Source organism: Homo sapiens, chromosome 2 (assembly GCF_000001405.40).
Source record: "Homo sapiens chromosome 2, GRCh38.p14 Primary Assembly".
NCBI classification, from domain to species: domain Eukaryota; kingdom Metazoa; phylum Chordata; class Mammalia; order Primates; family Hominidae; genus Homo; species Homo sapiens.
This window is the reverse complement of record NC_000002.12, coordinates 197,217,226-197,239,071: the sequence shown is the minus strand read 5'-3', so window position 1 is coordinate 197,239,071 and position 21,846 is coordinate 197,217,226. Positions and strand designations below refer to the sequence as shown.

Sequence of the window (21,846 nt, the reverse complement as noted above, 5' to 3'; positions counted from 1 at the left end):
TAGAAGCAGATGCTACAGAGAATGGAGCAGCAAGACAGATGGAACCTGGGCTAGCCACGGTGGTTCACGCCTGTACTCCCAGCCGAGGGGTACAGGGCAGGCGGGTTGGGGGGCCAGGACGAGCAGATCACCTGAGGTCAGGAGTTCAAGACCAGCCTGGCCAACATGGCGAAACCCCGTCTCTACTGAAAATACAAAAATTTGCCAGGCGTGGTGGTACATGCCTATAATCCCAGCTACCCGGGAGGCTGAGGCAGGAGAATTGCTTGAACCTGGGAGGCTGAGGTTGCAGTGAGCTGAGATCGTACCACTGCACTTCAGCCTGGGTGACAGAGTGAGACTCCATCTAAAAAATAAATTAAAAAAAAAAAGATAGATGGAACCTGGGTCCTTATCACCATCGAGCACCATACCAGTCCTGGGTAACTTCTATAGACCTTGTTTACAACGAGGGAGAAATATATATATATCTTTCTTGATTAAGCCACTGTTATTTTGGGTTTTCTGTAACATGATGCTGAACCTAATCCTTCTATGGTATTATGCTACCCTTAGGTTAGACTGATTTTTTTGTCAAGGTTGTCATCATAGCACAGATCAAGATACAACCAGATTCACCTGAGAACAATCAATTTACTAGTGCTGATAGTATGTAGAGCCAGTTGACTAGGCAATGTTCAGAACAGACTTTCTATTAAATATCTTCCTCACTGTGCCTTTATTTGACCTGACCATTTTTTTTTACGGTAGAGTGTCAGGATGTGATATGGTTTGTTTATTCATTCAGCAAATGTAATGAGTGCCTACTATAGGCCAGCCATTGTGTTAGGCTCTGGGAATCCAGTGTGAGCCAAACAGGCATAGTCTGTGTCTTGACACAGCTTACAGTTTGGTGTAGAAGATGGATATTAATGAAAGGACCACACAGTTATATAATGACTGTACAAACTGTGACATGAGCACAGGAAGCTACCAGAACACATACAACGGAAGAATCTCATCTAGACTTGGGGTAGGAGGGCTAGTCAGGAAAGCTGTCTTGCACAAGTAGCTTTTGAATTGAGATGTGAAAGGTGAATTGGATTTAATCAGGTGAGGGTGGGTAGGATGTTCTAGATAGAGGGAATTGTCTGGACCAAAGCTCTGAGAAGGGAGGGGCTGCAGCATTTTCAGGAGTGGAAGGGCATCCGGAAGTTGCACTGGTGCACTGCATGGAAAGGAAAGTCATGGAAATAACCAAGCTGACTTGTCAAGGATGTCACTTTTGTAAGGCGTTAAACATTCCCTTTCATGACAAAATTATTTTAGAGGAGCTGATTTCATTCCAAATCTATCACAAAATAAATAAAACAATCAGACCTTTTGTATTTTAGGGAGTGATGCTCTGGGACATGTAATTAGGTGCCAGTTTTCTGTGCGCGATTCTCTTTTGTAGTGATTTACATGTTGTATATTAGCTGTCATTTAGACGTTTATGGGGTGGACAATGGGTGTGAATGGAGCCGGCATTACAGACATCACACACTCCGAATCTTCTAGTGAAAATGTTAATGGCATGAAATATTTTTAATGAGCACATGTTCCCTTGAGCAGAGTCCAATCCCACAGAAGGAGTTCAGCAGTGTAGCTTAAAAGCAAGAGGGTTGGCGAGTTTTATTTCTTGAGAAAAGTATTGCTGAAGTAGTATCTTTTAAGTTAATGCTACTGAAAGTAAAAACAGCAGAGGCAGGAAAATATTTGTTTTCCAAACATGTTTTATTTATAGATGGGTGAGTTCTTAGAAAAGATGATTTAATAATTGATTCATCTTTGTTTTGAACATATATAGTATTTTGTGCCTTTCTTTTAATTATAGTAACTAGTACTGAAACATTCAAGGGTGCAATACTCTATAGAACAAAGGTCTATTCTTAAGGGAAAGAAATAATACAGTCGGCTATTATACAAGATCGACAGTTGACGGCAAAGGACTTAAAGGAGTCGAGTTTGCTCTAAAAACGAGTCTATGCTGCCTCTCATCAGCTCCGTTCTACACCATTGCCATCTCTCCCCGCTGCCAGGGCATCAAAGAACACTTTGTTCCTCCTATTTTCTTGACTTCTAGTGAGAGACAAACCTCAGTGTCTTGCTTCTCCCCATTTTTCCTCTAATATTTCTGGAGGCAGATATGCCTTTGCCACTTCTGTGGGAGTAAGCTAAAAACAGTAGCCTTCAGACCTTCTCCCTCACTGTGTGCTCTCATTATACAAACTCAGGACTGAAGTGGCACGGGGATTCTCTTTTTCTCAGTAGCTACTGTCAAATTTCTCTTTTTCTCCTATCCTTCCTTCCTTTCTTTTATTCTTTTTTTTTTTTTTTGAGTAGTTTGTTGCAGGGAGAGATGAGTAGTTTTGGGCTTAGATTGAGACTATTTTTGCATTAAATGGAGAAAGAAAATGGAAACTAGTTCTATAATAGGCATCTATAGGCAACACTCCAGCCATAGAATTAGAAGAAACTAGTAGGCAACTAGTAGGCCCCATAGACCAGAGCAGGCTTCAACATAATAGCAGTAAGTTAAAAACAAGAAATCTTTCATAACACCCTCTTTTTTATTGGCCTACAGAAATACACTGTGCATATGTTCTCCTGCTGCTCCTTTTTTTAAAATGAGTCCGGGCTCTACCATTTGCTAATTGGGGTTCAGGACACCTGTGAGTGGCAGCCTCAGTTTGAGTGGGTGGTTCAGATACTTGTGGATGATTTTGGGGCAGGTCGTGTCTTCTTTACCTATCTTCTAACTAGAAGCTAGGGCATAGTAGGGGCTTTGTGATAGTTTTTGACTGTATCTTACACACAGTCAGGCTGCAGGAGAGGAGAAGTGCTTTCAACTTAAATTCTGATCCCTCTGAGAAGGCTTTGAAGAGAAGTCCCTTGCAGCCTGTTTGCCCTGCAGAAGGAGTAGGGTTGAGGGATCCTGGGCATTTGTTGAATCTTTATGTGGCATTTATCCGGTTTTCATCTCTTGGAGCACGATTTCCTCTGGTCCTGTTCCCATCAAGTGTGCAGTTATGCTTAGATTCATTTGTCCAGGTGTCTCTTAAAGTCAGAATTTACTGTTTTATGACTATATAACAAATAGCACTCATCAACTAATTCTGCACTTCAAGCCCTCACCGCAATGCTGAGGGCCCTAATCACAATGACTTGTTTGCTATTACTTCCCTTAATTTACTGCTACTGAGAATTCCTTCTAGAGCACTTATTGTCTGCACCATTCATTTTTGTACCTAATCATGGACTACTTTGCATTGTTAGTTTATTGTATTATTTATATATCTTTGTATATAATATTTGTATTGTATTATTTGTATTGTATAATATTTGTATTGTATTATTTATATATCTCCCCAGCTGTTTTTATAGTTTCTAGAAGGCAGAGGTTGGATCTTACACTACTTTTTTTTTTTTTTTTTTTAGACAGAGTCTCACTCTATCACCCAGGCTGGAGTGCAGTGCAACAATCTCGGCTCACTGCAACCTCTGCCTCCTGGATTCAAGCAATCCTCCTGCCTCAGCCTCCCAAGTAGCTGGGATTACAGGCGCCCGCCACCATGCCCAACTAATTTTTGTATTTTTAGTAGAGATGGGGTTTTGCCATGTTGGCCAGGCTGGTCTCAAACTCCTGGCCTCAAGTGATCTGCCCCCTCAGCCTCCCACAGTGCTGGTATTACAGGCGTGAGCCACCGTGCCTGGCTGGATCTTACACTACTTTTGAGCCCCTCTCAGCACACAGTAGATAATCAACAAATGTTTGAATTCGGAAATTTCAAGTGAAAATAGTTTTGCTCTTTTAGAAGACTCTAGCAATATCAATCTATTTAGTTCTTTTATAGAACCCAAGACCTAGCTTAAATGTGTAGATGATTCCTTATGGCACACCAGGATTTTCACATGCTTGTCTTCTTCCTTTGGTCTTACCACTGTCTGAGAGAGGGGAGTGAGAAGTGTTGAAGCTTAGTTTAACATGGAAAGTCTGTAGGTAAAGGCCCGTTCTCTCTGTGAGTGAAACATAGGGCTGATTGAACACCTGCTGTTAACACTGAATAAGGGTGTAGTTTGAAAGACTTAGCATTGAGTCTAGCCTGTTAACCCTCTCTTCAGCCTCTTCTTAAAAGGCTCCATTGAGTTCGCCCTGTTTTCATGCTTATCACTAGTGGGGAAGGGAATATTAAGAGGCCAGTGCCTTATCCATTAGGCAACTGGGGCAGGAAGGGGATACTGGAAAGAACTTTGCTCAAGTTGTTATCAGGTAGAATCCCGAGAAAGGTAATAAAGTGGAGTCTATTAGCAACCTAACTTTAAAAGTTTAGCAAAGCTCTGTGATCGTGGAAATTGGGAACCACCAAATTGTTATCAATAGGGATAAGTAAAATTGGGGGTGTTTACCTAACAGAAAACCTTGTTATTAAAAAGAATGAGGTGGATGGGCATGTACAACATGGAAAAATCTAGAAAATTTTAAAAAACAAATTGTAGAACAATTCGTAAAGCATGATCCCAATTATTTAACAAAACAAAATAAGAGATGCCTGTGGCTGGGCTGGGCGTGGTGGCTCACGCCTGTAATCCCAGCACTGTGTGAGGCCGAGATGGGTGGATTGCTTGAGCCCAGGAGTTCAAGACCAGCCTGGGCAACATGGCAAAACCTCATCTCTACAAAAAATACAAAAATTAGCCAGGCATGGCGGCATGTGCCTGTGATCCCGGCTACTATGGAGGCTGAGGTGGGAGGATCAATTGAGCACAGGAGGTTGAGGAGGCAGTGTGAGCTGAGATCACGCCACTGCCCAGCCTGGGCGACTAAGTAAGTCCCTGTCTCAAAAAAAAAAAAAAAATCTATGACTTATGACTGCACATACAGTTAATCTGCAGAAAGAAGTCTGGCAGGATATAAACAGTGGGTTACTTTGGGGAAGGAAAGATGGGTGGGGCTATGGAGGCTTTCTGGTTTACTCTGTATAATTTTGAATTATTTGAAACTTTAAAAAATTTATTTAAGTTTTTTGTTAAGAACAGTTAACGAGATATACACCCATATTTTTAAGTGTGCAATGCAGTATTGTTAACTATAGGCAAAATGCTGCACAGCAGAGCTCTAGAGCCTATTCATCTTGTGTAACTGAAACCTTATGCCTATAGATTGAAAATATATTTAGGTATTATTTGGCTATTTGAAAAAGAGGAAAAATACAGCAAATGGTCCATAGATATCCCTCCATCATCCCAGCTTTGTGGTGTCTTGTGAGAGAAAACTGCTAGAACAGTTGAAGTGTGTAGTTTTAAAATGCTTACTTGCATTGTTTTTTCTTGGCAAAAGGTGACTGAGGTTAAACTTGAGCTATTGCTGAACAACAAGAAGCTGTGACCAGTGTGCTGTTACATGCCTGTAGTCCCAGCTACTTGTGAGGCCAAAGTGGAAGTATTGCTTGAGCCCAGGAGTTTGATATGAGCCTGGACACAACATAGTGAGACCACAGTCTCTTAAAAAAGCCATGATATGAAATAGAATATAGCAGTTTCTATTCATTCTCCTTTGTCCCTTTGTTAATTTTGAAATCTTCAGATATTGGCTGAAGAAAAATGCAGCATTTAATTTGCTTAATAATATTATTTATATAATTAAATTTATTTGTAGTATTTTCTAGCAGGTCTACCCGGGTTAGAGACATTCAGTATCTGAGAGGCACATTGATCATTTCTGGGAAGAAATTGTGGCACCACACTACCAAACGCTCTTGCATATTTTATTCCATTGAATCCTTTTAAGAGTGATGGGGAAGTAAGACAGGCAGCATAATTGCTGCTCAACACAGGAGTAAGCAGTCCTAGAGAAAATTAATGACATAAATAGAGTTATAGAACTATTAAGTGACAGGGTCAGAATTGGATGGAGCCAGGCTCTCCAATTTCAAATTTAGTTCTCTTCCTACCCAGCACGAGGGTGTGCAACGTAGCAGAGCTTCCCCGGAGTAGAATGTATTGGGACCATATTTTGTACAGTTACCAGTTTTATTCCAATAAAGCCTCAAATCATTGAAAGGTGTAATGAGAGAACTATAGGCCTAAAGATGAGGATCAAATAAAATAACAAATATAATAGAACTGTCTTGCAAAATATTTTACAAATATGAGGTTGTGTTTTGATTATCATGCATGTATCAATGCCTTCCATCTCTTCTTGGTATGCTTGTGAGAAGTGCGTGAGAGTTCTGCTCTCTTATGTGGGAAAACAGATGCAGTGGAATAAATGAGGCGAGAAGGGGACAAAGCCAGGCAAGGAGCCTCGTGAACTTACATTTTGATCAAATGGACTCCCTGCCATTAAGAGAACCTTTTTTCTAGGAGGGATGGGCTGAAAGGTAGCCCCAGGCCAGAGCTGGGGTAGCTGACAGTCATCTCCCACAAAACCAGCACTTGCACAAGTGATTAAAAAGAGATTTTCAAAAACAATTGTTAATTATGGTCACAGATCCTTGACACATAGTCCTTTTCAGAGATTGATTTTCCTCAACATCCTTGTAAATATGTGGTGCTTATTTCTCCCATTTCTACCTGGCATTGCTGAGTTGAAACTGAAGTTATATTATAAAATTTCCAAATAGATAGAACATTTCTATTTTAGACATGACATTAAGGGGCTCTTCTTCTCTTGAATGGACAGACCTCAAATGACAAGCACTTTTGGGATTGTGCCTATCCTCAGGTGCCATGTTATTGGAGCTGGAATAGTAGATGCTTATACAGGGCTCGGATCAAATGGAGTTCACCAAGCCACTGCCACATAGGTACATACAACTTCCTATATCTTTGGGTCTGCGTGAAGTTTTGTGATCAGCTCACTTACTAAGGTGAAGCTTTGTGCTTCATTACCAGCCTCTTAGGTCATGTGCTCCTTTGAACATTGGGTTTCTTAAGAACAAACTAGATTATCACCTTCTTGTTCTGTTAGGCATTCAGAATAGCAAGTCTTGATAACCAAATTCCTTCATATACTCAAAGGGTCAGAGCATGGGATGCAGTGGTTCAGGAGACAAAGTCATCCTTCCATCCATCCATCCACTTATTCGACATGTATTATGTGCTAAGACCAATCCTGTTCTTACCCTGTCCCTTGCAGTCTTGTGGGGGAGGGGAAGAAGAAATATGAAAATAACTATTCAATGACCATGTGATAAGTGAAGCACCTGGCACATAGCAGGTACTCAAAAATGGCCCATGAATGGAAGTGTCATGACAGATGCATGAACAAGGCCCTACATTCAAGACTTTGAGCAGAGTTTCCTAGCCTTGGCACTGCTGACATTATGGGCCAGATAATTCTTTGCTGTGGGGGCTGCCCTGTGCATCATAGGATGCTTAGCAGCATCCCGGGCCTCTGCCTACTAGATGGCTGTTGCACCCCTCCCTTAAGCTAACAATCAAAGATATCTTTAGACATTGCTAAGTGTCCCTTGCCAAGGCAAACTGCCCTGTCGAGAAGCACTGGCCTAGAGGAACATAGGACCATCATATCATGTTGGGCAGAGCCATGGAAAGATATGCAGGGTAGGACATTCTTAATTGATTGATAATTCAGCCTTAGCTCAATTTTTTTTTTTAAAGAGTTAAGGACTCACTCTGTTGCTCAGGCTGGAGTACAGTGGCACGATCATAGCTCACTGCAGCCTTGAATTCTTGGGCTCAATGAACTTCTTACCTCAGCCTCTTAATTAGCTGGCACTATAGATACACACCACCACACTTGGCTAACTTTTTAAATTTTTAATTTTTTTAGAGACGGGGTCTTGCTATGTTGCCCAGGCTGGTCTGAAACTCCTAGGCTTAAGCGATCCTCCTGCTTCAGCCTCTCAAAGTGCTAGGATTATAGACATAAGCCATCACGCCCAGCCCTCAGATTGATTTATCCGTAAGAAGCACCGCATCTGCCAGTGACTTAGGTAAAGGCTCATCTGTTTGTTTTGTCAAAATTTGGATTGATTTCATTCCCCTCCTCTTGGCAGAAATAATGCTGTCTTTCCTGTATTCTTTTCTTCTGGGCCCATTTTTCAGCCATTCTTTCAGGTGGGTAGAGCCAGAAGACTGAGTTCTGGCCAATGGAATATAGGCAGGGGTGATGCAGCCATTTTCTGGCCTTGCCTTCATGAAATCTCTCATGTGATTCTTTCCTCTGCCTCTGCTGGTTTGTCCACCGGATCTAGCAGAGGATCCTGGGGTCCCGGGAGATGGTAGAGCCACTGGAAGAAGAGACCCGAGGCCCCGAATGACTACGTGGAGCACAGCCCTCCACCAGTGCCAGTTTGCTTCCCACTGTAACATGAGAAAGAAAGAAACTGTTACTGTGGGATACTACGGAGATGAAGGGGAAATTTGGTGTAGTTGTTAGCTTTCCTGATTAAGATACTCTCTCCTGCTCCCTTTTCCCATTGGGTACTGATAACATGCCATAAAAATACTTTTTAATTTTACTTTTCTTTGGTCACTCTGGTGACCTACACATGGCATAACCTTAGGTAGACCCCATCATAGGCAGTTCCTGTGATAGAATTATGTGCCTTCCTAGCTCCACATGGTTTGTCTTTTCCAAATCTTTATTGGAAGGGATGAGTGTTTGAATCTCCTTTCATCTGGCCCTTTGGGACTAGTAGGACCACAGTCACAGAATAAGGAGTTCTGGTTACAACCCAAGCAGAAAATGATTCCTGAATGTTGAGTTCATAGTAGCTGTATTCCCCACACAGTTCAAATGGTGACATTCTTAAGGCAGAGGAAGAAGAACAGTCAATCCTTTTATTTAATTTTGGCAAGACTGTGGTTTATGGTGCTCTGGGGAAATGCAGCCACAGATGTGTCAACCTTTAAAAAAATTCTTGGCAGTCTAACCTTTAAGTCATAAACCTAAACACAGACAGTGCATCCCTGAAAAAAGCTCGTGTTGGCTGCATTGCACACCTCTATCCCACCTTCCAAGACAACCATCATTCCGTCTTTGCTTGTGAAATGCAAGTTCTGTTTATTTTAATCAGTATTTATTTCCTAGATGATCTGGGTGCGTTGTGATTTTCAACATGTTTGACAGTTTTATGGTTAGCTCAGCAATCACTCTATATTATTCACTCCCAAGATATGGATAAGCACAAGGGAGTTACTCCTTTCCAATTCTGCATCGATGTTGGACCTCTGTCAAGAAGCATCATAGGAAGGTGGTTAAGCACATGGACACTGGAGCCCTACTGCATGGGCTCTAGCCCTAGTTTAGCATTGTATCTACTGTGTGACTTTGGGGAAAGTTACTTAATCTTACTGTGCCTTGTCTTCAGGAACAAGAACAGTACCTACTTCCTAGAGCAGTTGTGAAAACCAAAGGAGTTAATTTGTATATAGACTTTAGGGAAGTGCCTGGCACAATATAAGTGCTTATAAATATTATCTGTCAATATTGCTAAAGGACAAACACTATGTTTTCATATATTTTACTTACATGATAATCAAAATGAGAAACTAGTTATTGTTATTTAATTCATTAAGTCTTCTATCTTCCCCTGTGCTTTTAAAGGACTTAATTAACTAGAGTTATTATAACTCCTTTTGGGGAAAATTTCTATTTTTACACATACACAGATAGGAACATGTATGAAAGTATATCAAAATGTTAACAGCATCATCTCTGGGAGGTTTGATTATGAATGATCTTAATTCATTTTCATTTTTTCCTCATTTGGATTTAATAAGTCTCTATACACATTACTTATAGAACTTTAACAGAGCAAAGAACTCAACTAACATTTCTAGCACTTTCAGAGAATATTATTCATATTATATTTGCATGTGTTTTGTGTGAAACTTCACATCAAGTGTTTTATGCCTTAACTTTTTGTGATTCTTTCCTCCTGTGTTTTCTCTGTTCAAGTGAACACATCAGTAGGATCAGTGATTTGTCATGCACAGACACAGCACATAACTCCACATTTCAGGTAACAGCTCTTTTTGTGTGTGTGTGATAGATTTTTACTCTTGTTGCCCAGGCTGGAGTGCAATGGCACAATCTCTGCTCACTGTAACCTTTGCCTCCCAGGTTCAAGTGATTCTGCTGCCTCAGCCTCCCAAGTAGCTGGGATTACAGGCATGCACCACCATGCCTAGCTAATTTTGTATTTTTAGTAGAGACAGGGTTTCACCATGTTGGTCAAGCTGATCTCAAACTCCTGACCTCAGGTGATCCACTTGCCTCGGCCTCCCAAAGTGCTGGGATTACAGGCGTGAGCCTCCGCGCCAGGCTGTAACTGCTCTTCAGATAACTTCGATCCTTTGTTTCTTTCCTTTGCCTGTGGTGTCTGATAATTCTGCTAATCAGCTGGATCCCTGCCGGCCACCCTAATTTAGTTGTAGGACACAGAGCTAATACCAAGGGGACCAACTCCTGCTTCTGCCTTGAGAAATACACTTAGCATCTGGGGCCCCTAGAGATGGATGATTGCTGTGCCTGTGACAGAAATGTGAGGGTGGTTAACTAGAACTCTCACAGTCTACCTGATCTTACTCAAAGTCAATAAAGAATTGGACCAGGTCAAAAGGAAATCTCTTGGTGAGAAAGCGAAGAGTTTGAAAATGTGCCTTTAGTAATATTTCTGCCTCTGTCAGGAGGGAGAGCTCGTGACTCAGGTAGAGTAATGATGACCATCTCTTGAATGATTTCTATTTGTCACTGCTTTAAAAATCTGTTCCTAACTGTTCACCACCACCCTGTGAGGTAGGGGAAGTAATGACAATAACAGCTATGATGATAGCAATAACCAGCAGCTAACATTTGCTGAGCACTTACTATATGCCAGCCACTAAGCTAAGCTCTTTATGTAATTATCTAATGTCAACCTTGTCAAATATCCAAGGTAAATCCCACCATAATTTCCATTGTACAGATGAGAAGACTGAGGCTCAGAGAGGGAAACTGACACAGCTAAGATTTGATTCCGGGTCTGTCTGACTTACAGTTGGGATGTTAAGCATGCTATTATATTGCTGAATCATTCTATAATCAGCTCTTTTGTTTTGGAATTTAGTGCTGAATGTTTTAATTTATCTGGTGATACAGACTTCATCTTCTTTGTTCTTTCTTAATGTGCAGCTTATTATAAATATGCTTTTATATAAATTATCTCTACATTTAATTGTCTCTTTATTTGATCTTCATAACCCAGCCCATGGGGCAGTCAGGTTAGGTATTATCTGAGCTTTACCTATGAGGAAAATGAAGCCCAGAGACATGGACTTTTCCCAACACACACAGCCATGAGTGGCAACAGCAAGGCTGGAATGGATGTCTTCAGATTCCTGGTCCAGTGATCATTCAACTCTCCCGTTGTTCTGATGCCTTATTCTCACAAGTCAGCTGTCTTTTTCTTCTTGCCCCCAAAGGATTTTTGTTTTTTTTGGTAAAACAAACACTTTTTGGGTTATTTTAAAATAGTTTAGTAGAATTGGGATGTGCACATAGGATAGGGCAGAATATGCAAAGGAGATGGCCCTTGAGGAGTTTTCACACCTTCAGTCGTGTTTACCAGGAGGTGTTCACTAAACCCTAGTTTGTCAATTATGTTTATTCTTTCCAGAATCTGGGAAGGGGCCAGCGATGCAATGGGACACCCAATACTTAGGAGCCTCACCTGCTTCCAGGTCCCTGCTCTAATTCTGCAGTCCTCGGTCCAGCTATTGCTGAAAGCAAAGCTTCAGACCACCTGTCAGCAAATTATTCCTTCCTCAAGAAGTTGCCCTGAAGCCATTTCTTTATATGAAGGCTTTTAGTTCATCACTACACTGGAAATTCAGTTTACCACCGAATGAAGTTTTTTAGAAGAGGTTGTTATTATTTCCTTTAAAGAGAGGTATCAGAGGACAGGGGTTGGTAGAAGCAATAAAGAAAACCATTAATATAGATTGAGAATTAAGATGCTGTTTTCTGCTGAGGATGGCAGGAGGGAGGTGTGTTCCAGCCCACAGGGTGATATGGTTGTCCTGACAGCAGTGAACTCCTAGGGTAAAAGCAGCAGTCAGACTGGCTGTTAGATAGCAGGTCTCTGGGAGCTCCCAGGGAATTGGGTCCATATTGTGGTCCCTTTTTGGAATCAAATTCTGAGATGTAATCTCAGAAGGAGAAATAGAGTTATGAAAGAAGGTAATGTAATAGAGAAGAAAGAATCTGAAGATGTGGGTTCTAATCCTGGCAACATGCCTAATTACCTATGTGACTTCAGGAATGTCACTTAATACCTCTGGGCCTCAGCTTCCTTACCTGTGGAATGAGGTGGTTGGACTGGATTAGTGGTACCTGACCCTCACTATACATCAGAATCACCAGGGAAACTTTTTTTTTTGAGACGGAGTCTGCTCTTGTCGCCAGGCTGGAGTGCAGTGGTCGATCTGAGCTCACTGCAACCTCTGCCTCCCTGGTTCAAGTGATTCATCTGCCTCAGCCTCCCGAGTAGCTGGGACTACAGGCGTGCACCACCACACCTGGCTAATTTTTTGTATTTTGGTAGAGATGGGGTTTTACTGTGTTGGCCAGGATGATCTCAATCTCCTGACCTCATGATCCACCCGCCTCAGTCTCTCAAAGTACTAGGATTACAGGCGTGAGCCACCGTGCCTGGTCGGGAAACTCTTAAGAAATATTGGTGACTGGGCCCTATCTGATTTAAATGAATGTAATTGGTGATTAATTGGCTCTGAGTTAATTGGTGTGGATACACCCTGGCATCAGTATTCCCAAAGCCTGTCCAGGGGATTTGATTATGCAGCCTGAGTAGGATCAACTCTAAGACACACTCAGTTCTAACATTCTATTTTAAAATATATATAGTTGGTCTCTAACCAAGGGATTTATAGATGACACAGCAGCTTGTAAATGGGTTTACTGTAATGAAGAGCACTGATCATTTTTGTCTTGGAAGACAGGAAAGTTATTAAAGAGTTATTGAAGCTATGCCATTGATTTGTAAGATAATTCTCCAGGGAAAGCCATAAAAGCCTGTTTTTAGTGAGACATTGAAGTTTGGGAGAAAGATGCATAGAGAGTTTAATATAGCCAGAAAAGAGGAATTATTTGTTTTTAGATAATTGGAAGTGTTTTCTCTCAGAAGTTTATGCTAGGAGAATTTGTTCATAGGCCTAGAAGAGAACGTTTGGCTTGCAAACTATTTTTAAGGTAAACAGCAATTTCCACCCCATATCACCTTTTAAGTCCAATGGGAAAAAGTTATATTTTGTTGAATGCCAAATTATTAGGTCTGTTTCTGGGTTAAAATTCCAGTCCTTCTAAAAGTAAATTATTCTTCCTTGGGAATCAGATTTCCCAAAACCTGATTTATGTTTAAATGTAATGCAGTGCAGATTGGCCAGGCGTGGTGGCTCACGCCTATAATCCCAGCACTTTGGCAGGCTGAGGCGGGTAGATCACTTGAGGTCAGGAGTTCAAAACCAGCCTGGCCATCATGGTGAAACCCTTTCTCTACTAAAAATACAAAAATTAGCTGGGTGTGGTGGTTGGAACCTGTAATCCCAGCTACTTAGAAGGCTGAGGCAGGAGAATCCCTTGAACCTGGGAGGTGGAGGTTGCAGTAAGCTGAGATTGCGCCACTGCACTCCAGCCTGGGTGACAGAGCGAGACTCAGTCTCAACAACAACAACAACAAAAAGAAAAAGTCATGCAATGTAGAAACATAAGATTAATTTAATGTTCTTATTTACTTAGTTTCAAATTATTAAACCTACAGGAATTAGGCTAAATTATTTTTTGGTTTACGCTCGAATAGCAAAAGAAAACTGGGATATGTGGCATAAATCTGGTACCAAAGCTTTCCACATAAGTCCTTTCTTTTCAAATCTTTGGTCTCTCAGATCCACAAAGGCAGTTGTCATCCACCTAGAAGTGGGTCATAGTAAATCCAAAGCTCAAGGTCATCTCCCTCCTCTTCCCTTTTCTCCCTCCCCATCACACACATTAAAAGCTTTGGCAATATAATCCTCTTTTGTGTCAGAAGAATCTAGACAAGATTCTGAACTGTTGTGTTCTTCCTAACAGGAAGTCACCATCTGTATCCATGAGGAACTTCAAATGTGTTTTGATTTTTAGAGCCTATGATCTATAACAATTCTATAATTCAACTAGGAAATGTGGATAATAAATGATCTCATGCTGTGTCAGGTATACACAGATATAATTAGAAAAGAGGTGCTTTAGAAACAACCAATGTTTATCATCATTACCAACCCTTCACCTTTTTTCCTAGAAAAGGAAAGAAAATTGAGTCATTTGTATTTTAAATCCTATGGGGCTTAAAAAATAGATATATTGGGTGTTAGTTATGCTGTATAGAAAAGCGCAACAAACCAAAAAGCATAATGAATAAAACAAAAATGACCTTAAATTCATCACCCAGATAATCATGTAAGCATTAGAAATTTAAATATACAAAAAGGGGAAAAAAGACAATTCTCTAGATATCTGCTTTTAATGGAGAGATTGCTATGAAAATACACAAGGACAATCTTAGATTTTTGAAGAGCATCTCTTAAGACCATCTCCTTCTACCCCTTATTCAGGCTTACCCATTGGGATAAGCTCAGAAAAGCTGTATTTGGTCTTAATAATGATCCCTAAAAGATTACATAATTTTAAATGCTGTATCATTAAAATTATTATATTTACAGGGAGGAAAAAGCCAATTGTGGATACAGTTGATCAAAGCTGATTTCCCTGTTTCTGCTCTTTCTTCCATTTAACTTTTTTAATCTGAGTGTCTTCAAACTATGGTCACAATTTGAGCCATGGAGGGCCACTTCCATCAGTGCCATGTGGTGGTGGTGCTTCTTGCACACTGCCTGATGAAGTCCAGGACTCGATTTACCTTCCAGAATGCAGAATGTCTTCAGGGAACAGTTTAAGGGACCAAGATCCTTTCCATAGATGTAACCAGCCCCTCAGAAACCAACATTTCATAAATACAGATGGAAATTTCTTTTTAAAAATGCATTCTATAACACATACGGACATGTATCTACTACTTTTCGGGGTTTGTTTATACCTTCGTGGAATCGTCTTTTTATTATTCACATCCAGTAAATATCTTAAAAGTTGTTTTGTCTTGTAAAAACTTTTCCATTATGTAAGTGATAGGTGAAAGCACACAACAAATAGATATAGCCATCAAATTACAAACATTAAAATCTGAAAGTGACAAATGTAGTGAAGATATAGTTAAACAGGATCCCTCATACAGTGCTCCTGGGAGTGTAAGTTGTTATAACTATTTGCAGTTATTTGGAGATAGGTTGAAGCTGTGCACACCCCACAATTCTAGGTTGTGATTTCCCTTCTGGTTTTATCCCCTGGGAAAAACTTTGCATCTGTGTAAAAGGAAATTAATGCAAGAGTGCTCATCATAACATTGTTTGTCATGGAAACAAACAAAAAGGAAACACACATACTGACATGGAGAAATAACTTGTAGTATTTTGCGTGCAATGGAATACTATATGAGGGTGAAAATGAATGAACTAGCAATGCGTGTATCAACATGAATAAATCCCCAAAACATAATAATGTTGAATGGAAAAGGTGAGTTTCAGAAGGATATATATGCCCTCTAAATCCATTTATGTAAACCTTTAAAAAACTACATTATTTATGGTCATAAGCCCATCCAGAAAATATTTAAAAACCTACATGGGATTGATAACTACTGATGTCAGGATAGTGGTTTACTGTGAAGTGGAAGGGTAGGTAATGGGGCCAGGGCTTTGCTTGGATCTTTAATGTTTCATTTCTTGATCTGAGCAGTAGGTATATGGGTGCCTGTAACATTATTATCTAAACTGTTTTGTATGCTTCAACTATTTCATAGTTTAATAATAAAAAAGAAATCAGCTGGGTCTGGTGGCTCACACCTTTAATCCCAGCACTTTGGGAGGCCGAGGTGGGTAGATTACTTGAGGTCAGGAGTTCGAGACCAGCCTGGCCAACATGGTGAAACCCTATCTCAACTGAAAATACAAAAAGTAGCCAGGCATGGTGGCACACACCTATAATCCCAGCTACTTGGGAGGCTGAGGCAGGAGAATCACTTGAACCTGAGAGGTGGAGGTTGCAGGGAGCCAAGATCATGCCACTGTACTTCAGCCTGGGCGACAGAGTGAGAATCCGTCTCAAAAAAAAAATAAATAAATAAAAAATAAATAAAATAAATAAATCAACTACCTTGAAACTCTGTTGTAGTTTTATCAAAATAATAGCAGCAAACAAAAAATTAGGATTAAGAGAAGGAAATCTGATGGAGGAACATGAAGTGATCGGATTGCCTAAAGAAACCTGTTGAAAGCAAACTCCAACAGAATGAGCACAGCCCTAGGTGATGAGGATGATGCCCTTTCTCCCAAACTTCTCCAGAACCCTTATTTTGTGACTGTCACACCCACTGAAAAACCAACAAGGGGAAAACAGAGAAGAGAGGATGTGTCCTTGGGCGAGAGGAAGGTCTCAATCTTCCAGAAGAATGAGGGCAGAGAATGTTTTTTAAAGCTGCGTGATCCACAAGTGATGGGGATCTGAAGGCTTAAATAAAACTTCCATCTTCTTTGAAGTTTTTGATCTTTAAAGAGAATATTTAGTTCCCATTACACACTATTCTTGGTAGTTTTGTTTTGTCTCCTGCCTTTGTGTTTTCAGCTATGGCTCAAGAAGTTTAGAAGCCTCCTTCCCTACCCTCCTCCTCCTCTTCTTGAGTCTGCTTACAAGGCACCAGCAGGTACCATGGGGGATAAAGAAAAATAAAAGTACAAAGCAGATCCTAGTGGGCAACCCCAGGACACAGGGCAGTTATCACAGTCTCACATTATCTGCCTTAGGACACCAGTCTCTTGGTTGAACCTTTATTTATTTCTCCTTTTCCTCCAGGTGCTGTTCTTAGCTATAGCAGAATCACAGAAGAGAGTATTTGAGTCATTGAAGCATTTTAATGTTAGGATTTTGGTGTAGGATGAGATCTTAGCCATGGAGTGCAGTAGAACATTTTATAGATGGCAGAAGTGAGATTCTGATGTTAAAGTAGCCTGACCCAAGAGGGGGAAGAGCCCAGAGCCCAGCCTTCCCACCCTTAACACTGGGTGCTTTCTGTGACTCCAGGTTGCCTCTCTGACTTTTTGTGCTTTCTAGTCCTCAGCTTTGGCTGATCGAATGTAATTTCTTCCCCTGTCTATCACTTTACACTCTGGGGCTTCTTTAGGTTATCTCCAGTGAAAAGAGACACAGTATAACATATGCTGTCCCATTACCAACGACCTTCTGGATGAGTGAAAGATGGCCGAGGGTGGTGAAGATAATGCATTCATATTCTTAGGGAATTTTCCCTGGAAGAGATGAAAAGTTGAGGCAATCTAAGTTATGCTTTAGGAAGGACTTTATTCCGTGTTGTAGAGGCTGTGACAGAAGTCTGCGGTCAGGCTTACTAGTCAAAGAGTAACTAAAATATTACATTAAAAAAGATTTCCAGCCTAAGCAACATAGTGAGATGACATTTCTTCAAAAAAATAAAAAATTAGCTGGGCATGGTGGTATGTGCCTGTAGTCTCAGCTACTCAGGAGGCTGAGGTGGGAGGATCACTTGTGTCCAGGAGTTTGAGGCTACAGTTAGCTATGATCACTCCACTGCACTCAAGCCTGGGCAACAGAGTAAGACTCTGTCTCTGAAAAAAAAAATTACCTTATCTAGCAGCTATTTTTTTTTTTTTTGAGATGGAGTCTCACTTTGTCACCCAGGCTGGAGTGCAGTGCCATGATCTCGGCTCACTGCAACCTCCACCTCCCAGGTTCCAGTGATTCTCCTGCCTCAGCTTCCCAAGTAGCTGAGATTACAGGTGTGCACCACCACACTTGGCTAGTTTTTGTATTTTTTAGTAGAGACGGGGTTTCACCACATTGGCCAGGCTGACCTCGAACTCCTGACCTCAGGTGATCTGCCCGTCTTGGCCTCCCAAAGTGCTGGGATTACAGGCGTGAGCCACTGTGCCCGACCTCTAGCAGCTATTTTTACAATAATTCAAATAATGTTAACTTAGGAGAGTATGTTCTCCAAGTTGTTTTTGTAAAAATGACTTTGACATTATATAACATGATCTTAAAAACCCACTGGGATAGCAAATTATCAGTTCTAAGCCTACCTGTGAGTCAACATAAAGTAGATTCCTGAATGCCCCTTTAATAAAGGCTGTTAAATGTCTCAGAGGTTTTAATGCTGATTTAAAGTCAGCATTTTAAAATTTTAAAGTCCTTCTGAGACTGATTGCTGTGGGCAAACTAAATGCTTTAGCTGAGAGTGTGCTTATAACCCATTTTTTTTCCCCCAGAAATATAATCAGCCAGACATAGGAATTAATTGAAGCATTCATTGTCTAGCTGTGGAGCCTCCCCACAAAGGTAAAGAGTATTTGTGATTGAGTCTGGCTACCAAGCAAATGACCAATGTCTACCTATGACAACTCTCTGTTGCATTTCCTTCTTTACATCATATTTCTCATCTTGAAATACACAATGACAATACTTTGATAAGTGGAGAAAAAAGCAGAGAAATAAGAAAAACCTTTCCGTTATATGGAGAACCCATTTTCTAGGCTAACAACTATGATACCAAGAACATCATAGTGGCTAGTCTAACTCCTTATTGGATCATAACACTGTAGAATTTATAATAAAATATTTATCCATATTAATGACAGGAATTTCTTTCCTGGAGAAAATTGGATATAATGTTATTCAAATTTAAATACATGGTAAAGAAGAAATAAAAGCTGTGAGGGAATTAAGGCCTGCCACAAAGAAAGGATTAGGATATGACTGCTATCTTTGTTTCTACATTTAAAAATATTGTACACTTTCATTCTTGTGTAAGTTTTTTAGATTACTTTCAAAGTAATTTGCATAGAGTTTTCTGCTGACATGAAAAAATTGATCTTGATTATTCTTCAATTAAACTTTTAATAAATTATTTTTATATGTAAGGTTAATATGAAGAACAGCCTTCTATAGCTTGTTAAAATAAAGGGAAATTTTTGTTAGAAGGCATTCACTCACTCTTGTTACTTCCTTCGTATTCTCTAAGGCCTCTCCCTGCCTTTGGAGATTTGCCCTCTTGGCACAATTCTAATTTTCTCTGTAGAATGTCTTTTTCCCTTGGGAGGTGAGATTTGAGCTTCCTTTGCATCCTGGTGCGTTCTCCTATTACAAATATAAAAATTAAAAAAAAAATCAGTGATTTACACCACATGATCCATCTGGTGAATTATTTTTCCTGCACTTTGCAGACCATGATTGTCCTCGGGAACCTTTCATTGGGGTCCCGTCTGCTTTCATGGTGCCAGAAAATTTTGCTTTATTTATCATTTTTAAAACAGCTCTCAAAGCCCTTCTGAATTTCTTACCTTTACTAATGTATATGATGCATTTATTAGTCAGGAATTTTTTTTTGGACGCAAGTAACAGAAATCCCACCAAACTAGTTTAAGCAAAAGCGACTTTATGTTCTGGAAGTGGTCAATAGTGATGTCATATAACAATGTTAGTGTGCCTAATGCCACAGAACTATCCACTTGAAAATGGTTTTAAAAAAGTGACTTTAGGGCCAGGCGCAGTGGCTCATGTCTGTAATCCCAGCACTTTAGGAGGCTGAGGTGGGCAGATCACGAGGTCAGGAGATCAAGACCATCCTGGCCAACATGGTGAAACCCCATCTCTACTAAAAATACAAAAATTAGCGGGATGTGGTGGCATATGCCTGTAGTCCCAGATACTCGGGAGGCTGAGGCAGAAGAATCGCTTGAACCTGGGAGGCAGAGGTTGCAGCGAGCTGAGATCGCACCACTGCACTCCAGCCTGGCGACAGAGCAAGACTCCATCTCAAAAAAAAAAAAAAAAAAGGAACTTTAGCCAGGCATGGTGGCTCACACTTGTAATCCCACCCAGCACTTTGGGAGGCTAAGGCAGGTGGGTCACTGATGTCAGGAATTCAAGATCAGCCTGGCCAACATGGAGAAACCCTGTCTCTACTAAAAATACAAAAATTAGCTGGGCGTGGTGGTGGGTGCCTGTAATACCAGCTACTTGGGAGGCTGAGGCAGGAGAATTGCTTGAACCCAGGAGGCGGAGATTGTAGTGGGCCAAGATTGTGTCACTGTACTCCAGCCTGGGTGACAGAGCAAGACTCCATCTCAAAAAAAAAAAAAAAAAAAAAAAAAAGGGACTTTACCCTCCCATACCAGGAAGTCTAAAGTGGCATCAGGCAACTGTGTTTTTTTCTCTATCCCTTGGGCAGTCAATATTTAATTTCTCACCATCCCTTTCTTAAACTCCAAAAGTACAGGTTTTCATCAGTCCATGGCAGAAATATGCGGGAGGTACAAAGTGGGCTGTAGGATGTGTCATGGGTGGCTTTATGGAGAAAGTGGCCCTTCAACTGTAGTTATTGGTTTGGGAGCAATTAAAAGAAGAGCTTGAGCCAAGATGTGAAGCTGGGAAAACCCAGGTAAATGGTTCACTTTGGCTGCAGAATGCCATGTTCACTGGGTGAAGGGGAGTGGTACAGCTAAGATCCAGAAAGGTAGCAGGGAATAGCAGGAAGTCCCACTGGTATTTCAGACATCCCTGGAGAATGGAGGGGTGTAGGTGAGGATCAGTAGTTGCTGTCTTAAAGAAGGCAGAGACACCTGCTCCTGGGAATTTGGAAGGGGAAAAATGTTGGAGAAGAATAATCTCAGTAGACATCTTTCATTCCTTCTATTGGAATATCTTTTTTATCCTTTCAGGTACAGGATAGTCTTCCCATCTCTCTGACATTTTAGGAGAGGAAGACCTCTCTTAAAGTATCCCAGGCAAATGAGAATCCATCTGTTTTGGTGTCCTGATCTTGACCATTATTCTTTTCTTTTATTTTATTCTAGTATTTTCATCTTGATTTTCATTAGTAAAAACTCTTATGTAAATACTAGCACTATTGCCCATCTTATTCTATCCATCAATAGGAAGCAGAGGGAACAAATGTTTCAGTACAGGAGTGAAGGGCTTTGTGGCTGAATGTTCTTTCCTTGGGGGCCAATTGCTCCAATGTTTTTGGAAACTCTGTGAGAGTTGTGTATTCTGTGCTGAACCACAGACTTTTTAGATCTGGAAAGAACCTACAAAAATACATACCTTCCAACTCATTCATTTAACGGATGAGAAAACCTGGATCCCACAGTTGTTAAATGAGGCTCTCATACTTTTATTACCTCAAAGGATAAAAATCTCAAGGGTGTTCCTTGAGAAAGAGCAGATGAGTGGCTCAGAACCGTTATAGCTCTGCACAAAAGGGGGAAAGTCACCTCTTCTGGACTTGTTGCCCAGACATTTTCCTGTTGTTTAATTTCTCAGTTGTTTTATACAACAATTTCAAGTGTTTTTCAGATACCCAATTGAATGTGCTATTTTTGCTGCCTCTGCAGGAGAGTCTATTATGTCATTCAAGCAAATACTGCTCTTTCTCTAGTTCAATCACTTGAATTTTGGTGGGCTATGAGGATCCCAACATTTTCCATATTAAAGAATATGGATATGTTCCCCCATCAAAATCCATTTTGGGAGCTATCCAACCTTAGTGAAAATCCAAATCACTGGATGGTTTTTGAGCCTTAAAAGATGGCTCTATTTTGAATGACATCCTGGTAGCATTTATGTTATATTTGACACCCTGGATATTTATTTGCTTCTTTACTGGTTTTGATGGATTG

The 21,846-nt window shown here is 40.6% G+C and overlaps 1 protein-coding gene across 17 annotated transcripts in view; it reads left to right on the top strand.

Annotated features, from left to right (window-relative positions):
- Positions 1-21,846, top strand: part of ANKRD44 (ankyrin repeat domain 44) — a 343,767-nt gene that overhangs the window by 71,709 nt on the left and 250,212 nt on the right. The gene's annotated exons all lie outside the window — the stretch shown is intronic.